The following is an 11,871-nucleotide window of genomic DNA, read 5'->3' on the forward strand; positions in this document are numbered from 1 at the left end:
TTTTAAGAAACTGTGGCAAAGGTTTTAGAGTAAATTCTGAACTTTCCAGATGGGAGTATTTCAAGGCCACAGAGTTTTATTAAGGCATGATGGCTGCCTTGGCTTTCTTTGGGTGGGCTTGTTGGTCTTTAGTAGCATCATTACTTTGTAGAGTAGATTGATAAATGGAAAAGCAGTGAAGTCTAATCAGCTAGGATTACGCCTAGCAGAAACCTTTCATGGTAAGCTGATGGGCAAAAACACTGAAAATAATAGCCATGCACCCACTCACACAAGAACTGAAATATCTGGGAACGTAATGCTAGTGCATTTGTGCTCCGTTCCCCTAACAGCACAATTAGTGAATTGGAATCAGATTTCATTGCCTGGCATTCTCCTGAGATCTTTTACTTTCTATCCTTCTATGGCCCCATTCCCAAGCATCATAATCAGAAAGGCCAATTTACCTGAAATGAATATGTAACTTGTTTCGAAATGAAATGCAGTTGGTTATTGGATTGTCAGTCTCTTCCATTTGTGTGGCTGCAATTTTCACTATTTTAAGGGTCTGCTATTGAAACAGCTTCTGTCCATTCACGTTAGAATGCAAGGTTCACATTTAATAGTCTTAAGGGAGAGCGCCTGGCGCTTACTGAATTACCCAGTAGAACCATTCTGGGTACTTGGTGTCCTGGAGTCACCAAACTGCCTTCTTGGAAAACAGCCAACCATACCCCAAATAATAGAGGAGCCAGATTCCAGGGCTAATAGTAATAAATGTTTAAAAGAATGAAACACATTATATTTAAGGGGAAAACTACCCTTTGGGTTTTTTCCCTGGAAACTTTAGAAGTAATGACTAAATTGAAGCAACAATCTTACAAACAAACAAGTACACCTCTGGAGATGTCATTTTAATCACAGCATACTGAAGAGAGCCTGTAGACATTAGCCAAACACATTATTTCTTCTTATTATAGCAGGCTCGTTTCTCCCATTTAATAGCAGTAGCTCACACATAGCTCTAAAACCTGGAGTTTGTTTTATTGAGGAATGTTTGGACCTAAACAGTTGCTTCATTATTTTCTTAAATTCCCAGCAGGTGATCTTCAAAAGACACGCGAACTCGATTAAAATCAAATAGCAGGCAAAGCTAAAACATTCATATTCCCCTGTAAGTATCTTCTGGTCTTTCTTCAGTCTCTGGCTGTTCATTTATTGCAGCTTCCCTATGATTTTTCCCTTTGTCTTACACATTCTGGCTGGCTTCATTTCTAAGCTTTCTTAATTCAATCCACCAAATATCTGGCATACTAACATTTCAGGTGACAGAGGAAGCCAAATATAAGCTGGTTATAGAATTCAAGATTCTCAAGATTCTTCCTCCTACCTCTATCTGTGCTGTGAAAAGAAGAATTAGCCCGTAAATCCCAGACATACTGATACTTGGATAGTTAGCCCATGAAGAATGTCATTTACTCAGCCTCTTGTATGATCCTTCTTTGGGGATAACTTTTATAATGCTATGGAAAGGCTCTGGCTATACTTGTTACAGTCCTCACACATCCATCAAGAGATGAGAGGTAGAGTGAGGGGAACATGCGCAGAAAGGAGGAGACATCGCTGGGAATTACAGATATTTCCAACACGATCAATTAATCAGATGGCTTTTTCAGATAATTGCTCACAAATCTTTATACTACGAGGAAGGATTTCTGGGCTCCATTCATATCACTGTGAGTGGCAGTTGGAAAAGGAGCATCCAGAGCTAACTGAATTTAGCTAGAAGACAGATCTTACTGGTATTATGGAGGGACTTAACTCCTTGGAAGAATCTTAACAATGTCTTAGGGTTTGTTAATTTAATTTTAGTTGACTTAATTTTCTACTAAGAGTATAGTGTTCTGTTTTCAGCAATAGTAAGAAAGAATGTCTTGTGGAAGCAATTTCATGGTTGCCTTTCATGTAAATTTTAGAAGCCTAAAAGCACAGGCGATCAATCTCTAGTCTACTTGGTATCCCATCATAAAGCTGCTCTCCAAACATTAGTTGCTTCTTGGTCTCCTGACTGAACTCTTGGCATTATCAATAAAGTAATATTTTTAAATTACTTATTTTTGTGACCTATAGTATCTCTTGGGATAATAAACTTGATATGCTTATTAACCAAGGAGAATTTTTCTCTATTACTCCTAGATTTAACTTTTTAAAATGTTGATGGTAAAGTCTGTATTCTTGTTAGCCACACACTTTAAGATTTTAGACTCTTTGCTATATTCTTTTATTCTTTTACTTTGTCTTTTCAAACCGAAGAGTTCTGTTTCTTAGTCTGTTCTCATAAAGAAGCCCCTTGTTCAGTTTAATAGCTCTTCTCTGGTTGTCTCCATTCCAGTTCTTGGTTTTCTTGAGCTATAATGACCAAATGATACACATGGCTCCAGGTGTGGGTAAACCATGTTTCCATAGAGGGGGTGGATAAAGTTTTCTGCTCCGTTTCCAATAGTCTTTTTCATGCTGTTTAGGATTCTGTAGCCTTCTCAGCCACAAGAGCACATTGTGCTTATTTCTTCAAGTCTGCAGTATGACTCTTTTCTGAGTCATAATTGTTCAGATTATTTTGAGAGTAAGGTACACTACTATCCTTTGTTTATCTAACCTCTGTTGCTACTGAAACATTTGGTAATAACCAGGGATCTTTGAAATAGTGTAGGAAAACCTCAATCTATTGATCCCAGATTTATTTTCTCCTGGACAATGTTCTTATTTTAATTGAATCATTTTTTCCATTACAAGAATTTGGTTTTCTAAAGGAGTGAGGTTTCATGGTGGGAAACACTTTATAGATGGCGTAGATATCATATTTTTTTCAAAGTTAGTATACTGAGTGTACTTTTACCACATCAGTATTTTGTTCTTCATAACATTATATGTATAATGTCTCCATTAAACATGTAATATATAAACACTGTGCGTTCAGTGTTCCAGTGAAGAGGACAGAAACGGAAAGCAGAAAACATGAGGTTTGATTCAGATGGAGTCTGATCAGGGCAATTTAAGCTCTCTCTGTCTCAAAACCTCAGCATTACCATTCATAAGTCAAAGATGGTAACCCTTGGACTGACATTGTAAAATTAATAGCATGATCCTTCTGGGGGTATTTGGAGATTTTTGAGAAGAAGGGACTATTTAGGTTTAATTGATGATAGTATTAAAACAATGAGTCGAAAAAAGTTTACATATTACTTATGGCAGTATCACATACTGATTAACAGAAAGACTCCCTGGACTCAGACTTAAGTAAGAATCTGAGCTCACCTCATATTGCCTCAGTGACTTTGGGGGAGTTTGTTGAACTTTCTCTCAACCCCAAGTTTACTGGGGGAAGAATGACAATGAAAAATTGTATATATGTAAGGTGTACAATGTTATGTTTCGATGTATTCACACATTGTAAAATGTGTCTAGTCCCAAGTAGAGGAACCCACACCAGATTAATGGTAAAGTCTGTAGTAATGTAGAACCTTACTAAAGTCAAAGACAAAGAGAAAATTCTACAACAGCAGGAGGAAAGTGTGTAAAATGATTATCACAATCAAGCTAACATATCCATCGGCTCACTTAGTTACTATTTTCTTTTTTGTGGTAAGAACACTTGAGATCTACTCTCTCAGCAAATTTCAGGCATATGATATATTTGTTATTAACTACAGTCACCATTCTGTAGATTGGGTCTCCAGAAATCCAGAACTTATTCATGTTATAACTGAAGGTTTGTACCCTTTGACTAACATCTCCCTTTTCTCCCCATCCCCAGTCTCCTGCTAAACACTGTTCTACTCTCTGTTACTTTGAGTTTGATTTTTTTAAAGGTTCTACCATTAGTGAGGTCATGCAATATTTGTCTTTCTGTGTCTGGATTATTTCACTTAGCATGATGTCCTCCAATTTTACCTATGTTGTTGCAAATGACAGTATTTCCTTTTCTTAAAAGGCTGCATAGTATTCCATTGTGTATATATATATCACATTTTCTTTACCCATTCTTCTGTATTCAGATACTTTATTTCCATATTTTGGCTACTATGAATAATGCTGCAACAAACGTGAGCATGCAGATATCTCTTTGAGATAGTGATTTTATTTCCTTCAGATATATATACCCAGAAGTGGGATTGTTGGCTAATATGGTAGTTCTATTTTACTTTTTAAAATTGTGTTTATTTATTTTTGATTGACAAAAATTGTATATATTTATGGTGGACAACATAACGTTTTGATATATGTATACATTGTGGTATCACTAAATCAAGCCAATTAATATATACATTACTTCACATATCATTTTTATGCATTGAGAACACAAAAATCCCTCTTAGCAATTTTCAAATATACAATATATTATTATTAACTATAATCATCAGGATATACAATAGACCTCTGGAACTTACTCATTCTAACTGATATTACCAATATCTCCCCAATGCCCCCATCCTCTAGCCCCTGGTAATCACCAGTCATTCTGTTCTCTGACTCTATGATATCAACTTTTCTTAGATTCCACCTATAAGTGAGAATCATGCAGTATTTATCTTTCTGTGCCTGGATTACATTATTTCACATAACATCCCCCAGGTCTATCTGTGTCACAAATGACAGGGATTTTTTTTTCTTTTTTAAGGCTGAATAGTATTCTATTGTGTATAAATACCACATTTTCATTATCCTTTCAACCACTGATGAACACTTAGGTTGATTTCATACCTTGGCTATTATGAAAAATGCTGCCATGAACATGAGAGTGTGAGTATCTCTTCAACAAACTAATTTCATGTTTTTGGATACATATCCAATGGTGGGATTGCTGGGTCATACCATAGTTCTATTTTTAATATTTTGAGGAACTTCCATACTGTATTACATAATATCATACCAATTTACAAATTCACCAACAGTATACTAGAGTTCCCATGTTCCACATCCTTGCCAACACTTTTTATCTTTTGTCTTTTAAATACTAGCAATCTGTAAAAACCACTTAGCATAATATTTAGAATACAATAAGCCCTAAATATACTAGCTACAATAATAATTTCTACTACTACTATTATTATTAATTTGGGACCTCAGGATTTTTCATTATAACTAAATTTGAAATTTATCCACTATGGTAGAATATATTGGGTAAATGAATTAAAGTTTAAAAGCTTATAGACTAATGAAAAATGTTTTCCAATTACTATTTTATATGTCAAAGTAAAATTATAATTAAACTTGGTATGTAAAAAATAAACACATAAAACATTACAATATAATAAGGGCTACTTCAGAGGTTGCATAAAGGGCTGGAGAATCCAGTGACTATTGTGGATACCTGTGATTTATGAGAACTACTTTTTGTAATATCACCCACTTTTTCCTCTGTGGAACTCCCTTAGGTGATCTTGACTCCACCTTTGACTCCAAAGCTGGATACTTGTTTCTGGCCTGGCCAATCACAGCATTGTATCCTGCTCACAGAGTGACTGGTTCAAAGACTGATACAGGACTGTGAAAATCAGGCATAGGACTTGGTTTAAACGTCTGGGAGAGATGCTTCTTCCTCTTTCCTGAACTCAAAATTGTGATGATGGAATCCCAGAATGATTGGTCTTTATATTGCTGTAGTGAAAGAAGTTCCTGTTTGTCAATGGGACCAGCACAGAGGGCCACAGAGCAGAGAGATTGAGACTAGGTCCTAATAATCCTGACATTTCCAGTTACTAATACCTTTATGCTTAAGCTAATATGAGTTGGGTTTTTATTACTTGCAGTCAAGAAAGTCTTGGCATATACAAATAATGAATTAGACTTGGACAACAAGAAAGGTTCTATAAGAATTGATTCTAATATCATAGAATGAGGTGGAATAGAAAAAATTCAAAAATGGGCAAACTTTTAAGATAAAGGGGAGTAAGAAGGCCGAGACACAAATATATGAAATGGCATGTTTGAAAAATACGGTATCAGTATGGCCAAATCTTATAAATCTCTGATGGTAATGTTTTGACCAGCCAGTTTTCTTCTATCTGTGGGCAGTATGGTATGGTTTAGAGAAAATGAGCTTGGGAGAAATTTAAATCCAAGATAAATAAATTATTAAGTGTATGCCTTTAGGAAATTACCTAACCTTATTGAAACTCACTTTCCCATTCTTTGCTATGAGTATAAAAACACCCACTTTTCATGGTTGTTTGAAAGACTAAGTTAAAATTATGTATGGAAAGTTCCTAAAACAGTTCCTGCCTGTCATGAAGTCTGTTGTATTTGATATATAAGTACAGCTACTCCTGCTCACTTTTGTTTTCTTATTGCTTGGAATTTTTTTTTTCATCCCTTTCCTTGCAGTTTATATGTGTCTTTACGTGTGAGATGAGTGTCTTGTAAGCAGAATATAGCTAGGTCGCTTTTTAAAAACTCCACTCAGCCAGTCTATATCTTTTAAGTAAAGTTTAATTTTTTACCTTTAAGGCCATTATTGAGATGTAAGAGATTATTTCTGTGATTTTATTAATTGACTTCTGGCTATTTTGTGTGTCATTTATTCCTTTCTTGTTTATCATTGTGACTGTGGTTTTCTGTAGTGGTAACATTTGAGTCCTTTCCTTCCTCTTCCTTATTTGTGTATTTGCTTTATCAGTGGGTTTTATACTTCCATGCGTTTTCATGATGGTAGCTATCTTCCATTTGCTGTCAGGTGTAGAACTCCCTTAAGCATCATTTGTAGGACCAGTTTAGTGGTGATAGAATCCCTCAGCTATTGCTTGTTTGGGAAAAGTTTTATTTCTCCTTTGTATATGAAGGATTGTTTTGGAGAGGTTATTGCATCCTTAGCAGATTTTTTTCAGCACTTTAAATATATCATCCCATTCTCTTCTGACCTGTAAGGTTTCTGCTGAGAAATCTACTATTAATCTGGTGTGGGTTCCTCTACTTGGGACTAGACACTTTCCTCCTGACTGTTGTAGAATTTTCTCTTTGTCTTTGACTTTAGTACGTTTCTCTATAGTGTGTCATGGAGAAGACCTTTTTACATTGTATCTATTTGGGGACCTCAAAGCCTCCTATATCTGGTTGTCTAAATCTCTTGCTAGACTTGTGAAGTTTTCAGCTATTATTTTGTTAGATAGGTTTTCTATCCCTTTCATTTTTTCTTTGCCTTCTGGGACACTGAAAACTTGAATATTTGGTTGCCTTGTGGTGTCCTATATGTCACATAGGCTTCGTTCATTCTTATTTCTTATTTTTGTCTCCATGAGTTATTTTTAAAAACCTGTCTTCAAGTTCTGAGATTGTTTCTTCTCCTTGATCTAGTCCATTGTTAAAGCTTTCAAATGTATTTTGTATTTCATTTAATGAATTCTCTGCGTCCAGAATTTGTTTGGTTCTTTTTTAAATGATATCCACCTCTTCAGTAAATTTATCATTCATGTCCTGAATTGTTCTCCTGATTTTTGTCTTGCTTTTATATATTATCTTGTATCTCACTGAGCTTCCTTAATATCGGTATTTTAAATTTTTTTCTGGAGTTTTATAAATTTCTTTTTTATTGGAATCCATTGCTGGAGAATTATTGCATTCCTTGGAAGGCATGATATTTCCTTGCTTTTTCAGGCTTCCTTTGTTTTTATGTTGATACCTGGGCATCTTGAGTAATAGTCATTTATTCTAATTTTTTGGATTTGCTTTCATAGGTGAGAACTTTTTCCTGGAGAGGTATCTATGGTGTTGGTTGGGTAGGGCACTTTGGCTTTGTATCTGGGTATATGCAGTAGTGCAGTTTCCACATGATTTCTTTAGCTGTAAACAGTGTCAGTGGTGTCTGCTATTTCCTCAGTGGCTTAGGGTGTGGTTGTTAGTGGAGGCTGTGGTGAAATTTTTCTGGGTACCGGGATGCCAGCTGGGCCAGTTCTTGGACCTTAGTGGCTGCAGTGGTGGGTCAAGCCTACTGCCCTCTCCTTGGGCCCTGGGGTGGTATATACTGGCACTGATGTCAGCAGGCCCAGGTGGGTTAATTCTTGGGCCTCCAGGTGGCCTCCTTCAGGGCTGGTAGTGGCAGTGACTGGCTGGGCATGATCTCTGGTTCTTGGGCAGAAGGTATGGCATGGGCAATATCAGTAGCAGTAATGGAACAAGGCTCTGATTCCCAAGCAGCCTGCACTGGTGTCGGCAATGGCTGGGCCACACCCCAGGCTGGCAAGGTGGTGTGTGTGTGTGTGTGTGTGTGTGTGTGTGTGTGTGTGTATGCGTGTGGTAGTTGTAGTGATAGAGGCAGATTGGGTGGGCCTAACCTCAATCCCCTGGGAGGAGTGCTCAGGCGGCAATAGTGGTAGACAGGGCTGGGCAATTCCCAAGTCTCCGGATGTTGTTTTTGGGCACTGGAATGGTGAGGCCAGGTTGGCTGAACCTGTCCTCAGGTCCCCTTGTGGTACACGTAGGCACTTGCTGTGGTAGGCAGTAGTGAGGTGATAGGTAGGCAGGAACAAAATGCTTCGGTGGGGGTGGTACTGTCTGCACTGCAACCCTGCTATGTGTGGTTGTTTTCAGTAGCAGCAGCCATAGGCAGGCAGCTGGGAAGTGCAAGCTTTGCTCACACTTTGGCCACAGCAGTAGTGGCTATAGGCAGGGGAGTCTGTTCTTAGGACATATGAAACCGTGTGGCAGCTTAGCTTAGGGACAGCAGAGTTGCTCCCAGTGGCTCCTGCTTCGGCCCTGGTGGCCATAGCCAGCCATAGCAGTTGGCTGTAGATGGCAGGTATCAGTGGAGCTCCAGGAATGTGGAGATGCCAGGGCTGTTGAGCCCCAGAGGGGGCTGCATTCTGGTGGGGAATGGCTCTGAAAATGGTGCCTTGCTCTATCTGCTTATGACTCAGAAGTGTGTGGGAGCCAGACTTGAGCTCCCTCTCTGGAGCAATGTAATCTTGTGGTTTCCAGGCAGCTCCCTGTGTTAGTCTTAGGGCCCATGAGGATTGAGGGCCTCTTCTGCAGTTAGGATCACAGGAGTCTACCTTGAGCATGTGGACCATTGGGGGTCCCTCATGTACCCTTTCCCACATTGGGGTCCTCTCCAGATTCCCAGCTGATCCTGGCTGAGCAGACTGCCTCACTTCCCTCTCCTTCCTTGCTTGAGGGGTTGCCTATCACTTCCCTGAATTCCAGCGTTCTCTTTTAGATGATCTATTTGAAGTGTGATTATGTACTTGCCATTTTGGCTCTATTTTTTGGAGGAGGCAAGTACCAGATGACTCTAGTAAGCCATCTTGAAGCCACCCACCCCTGCATCTTTTGTTGTTATTTTTTATTTTTCTCTTGCTATTTTGGTAGGGCTTCTTCTTCTTCTTTTTTTAAATAAATACTTGTTTTAAATTCACATTTTACTGATTTTTGTTTTTAATTTATTTACAAAATAAATGCTATACATTGTTCTCAAAACCAAGCTTTCGCTGCTTTCAGAAGTTTTGAGAGAACTCTAATGATTTTCATCTTTTCTGAATAGTATTTATTTGTAAATTTTAAGTAATAAAATCATTCATTGTAAAACTATATACAGTTGAAATTTTTGGTATATATAGATAAATATAAAAAATAAAATCCCAATACTATAATATTTGTTATATGTAGATAAATATGAAACTAAGTATTGTTATTCCAACCCTCCCTGAGCTGTGACAACTATCATTGGCATTCTGATGTACTTCCTTCTAGTCTTTCTCCACAAAGGACAGGCTTTTTTGTTTTAAACAAAATTGTGATTCCATTATATGTAAGGCTTTGTTAATTCCATTATAAGTATTTTCTTTTTCTTTTTTTTTTTTTTTTTTTTTTTTTTTTGAGAGGGAGTCATGCTCTGTCACCAGGTTGGAGTGCAGTGGCGCGATCTCGGCTCACTGCAACCGCTGCCTCCCGGGTTCAAGCGATTCTCCTGCCTCAGCCTCCCAAGTAGCTGGGACTACAGGTGCATGCCACCATGCCCAGCTAATTTTTGTATTTTTATTAGAGACGGGGGTTTCACCATGTTGGCCAGGATGGTCTCAAACTCCTAACCTCGCGATCCACCCACCTCGGCCTCCCAAAGTGCTAGGATTACAGGCGTGAGGCACTGCACCCAGCCCATCATAAGTATTTTCATGTATCATCATGTATTTTAGAAAATGGTATTATTGACTATATATCAGTTCATTGTGTGCACACATTTTATTTAATTAATTTGCTCTTTTCAGTTATTTAGTTTTCTTTTTTTGTTATTATAAATTTCATAGTAATATATGTCCTTATACATAAATCTGAGTATGAATCTAGGATTATTTACTTAAAATGAATTTCCAGACACAAATTGTGGGGTTAAAGTGGGAGGAGCATTTTTAAAGCTTTTGATATATACCGCTAAATTGTCTTATAGGAATGTATAAATTATGAAACAACCAGCTGTCCATGTGAGACCATGCATTTCCTTATCCAAATGAAGTTAAAGAAATTATTTGTCAGCTTTTTTGGTGGTATGTGGTAACTCCTTTTCCTGATTTGAATGTTTTTCTAGTACTAGTGACTTTTTACAGGTTTTTCTTATGTTTGTTGGTTGAGTTTTTTTTTTTAATGTCTATGCCTATCTTAGTATCTATGCCTATTTTAATTTTTTAATGTCTATGTACTTTCTTTTGGAGCATGTTGTATGATATTTTATAAATAAAAGGTGTTAACTCTGTCATTATAGTGTAAATATATTTCCCAATATGTTTTTAAATTTTCATTTATGATATATAGAAATTTTAACTTTTATATATTAAAAATATCTATATTTAAATGACTTTGTCCAGATGTAGTGACTCATGCCTGTAATCACAGAATTTTGAGAGGCTATGTCAAGAGGATTGCTTGAGGCCAGGAGTTCCTGGCCAGCCTGGACGACACAGTGAGACCCCTATCTCTAAAAAAGTTTTTTTTCAAACAATCCTGCCACCTCAGCTTCCTAAAGTGCTGGGATTACAGGCATGAACCATTGAGCCCAGGTTCTTTGTAATATCTTCCTCCACGTTTTTACGTATCAATCCTGCATTCAAACATTTACTCATTCTGAAACAAATTTTAGTATATGTTATAAGGTATTGATCCAAATTTTTACGTTTATAAATAGTTAACATCTCCAAACCATTTATTGATATTAATTTCACCTTCATCATATTGTAAATTATAGTTTTGATTTTCCTTTTTGACAATGAATTATCTAAGAGGATACTTTAGAATTTTCAAACTTAATAAAAAACTTTTGCATTCAAAGACTGTATTGTCTGTAATTTCTATATTTTGTTACTTTTTGAGTGTCTATTATAATCAAATATAATAGACTGAACTTAAGTTTAGTCAATGTTCAATATAGTTTTACAATGAAGGTTTATACTGCAGCTACGTGGGATAAAGATATACAATGATTCATTTAATTCTATTTATTTTGTTGTTTAACTTATCTGTGATAATAATTCTAATACTTATTTTTTAAATGGTTAAGTTTAACAAACTTTAAATAATTACTTGGTAAGATTTTCATTTGGGGATAATGTCCAAGGTTCTTGCTAGTCTAATGTACCTTAGTAGCACTTTGTTCATTTTCATGGTGTCCACAAATTAAACTATAGTAAAATGTGTGTAGTTATTGACTTACTGTGAATTCTATGGGGGTAAAGTTGATGCCTTCCTGAACCTATTCTGGCACAGGATTCATAGACAATAAACACTTTTAAAATGCAGTTGAATTTCACCCAAGTTAAATCCAATGCAAACCTGCAAGGAGAAATTCCTAAAGAGAGTAAATCCTAGAAATAGTAAAGAAAATCATTGTGTCCTCAATGCCAGACTTATGGT

General features: G+C 36.7%; 1 long non-coding RNA gene across 1 annotated transcript in view, besides 1 other annotated feature; it reads left to right on the plus strand.

Annotated features, from left to right (window-relative positions):
* Positions 1–11,280, plus strand: part of CASC20 (cancer susceptibility 20) — a 101,728-nt gene extending 90,448 nt beyond the window's left edge. The window contains exon 4 of the long non-coding RNA NR_109953.1: positions 10,015–11,280. This is a non-coding gene — a long non-coding RNA (cancer susceptibility 20). The remainder of the gene's footprint in view (positions 1–10,014) is intronic.
* Positions 2,403–2,697: a silencer, noted in NCBI's record as "tiled region #6239; K562 Repressive non-DNase unmatched - State 24:Quies". NCBI's record gives its function as "represses a minimal TATA promoter and a strong SV40 promoter by Sharpr-MPRA in K562 cells {active_cell/tissue: K562}" and the evidence as "EXISTENCE:reporter gene assay evidence [ECO:0000049][PMID:27701403]".
* Positions 11,281–11,871: the final 591 nt, after the last annotated feature.

The sequence above is a fragment of the Homo sapiens genome, chromosome 20 (assembly GCF_000001405.40).
Source record: "Homo sapiens chromosome 20, GRCh38.p14 Primary Assembly".
Lineage (NCBI taxonomy): Eukaryota > Metazoa > Chordata > Mammalia > Primates > Hominidae > Homo > Homo sapiens.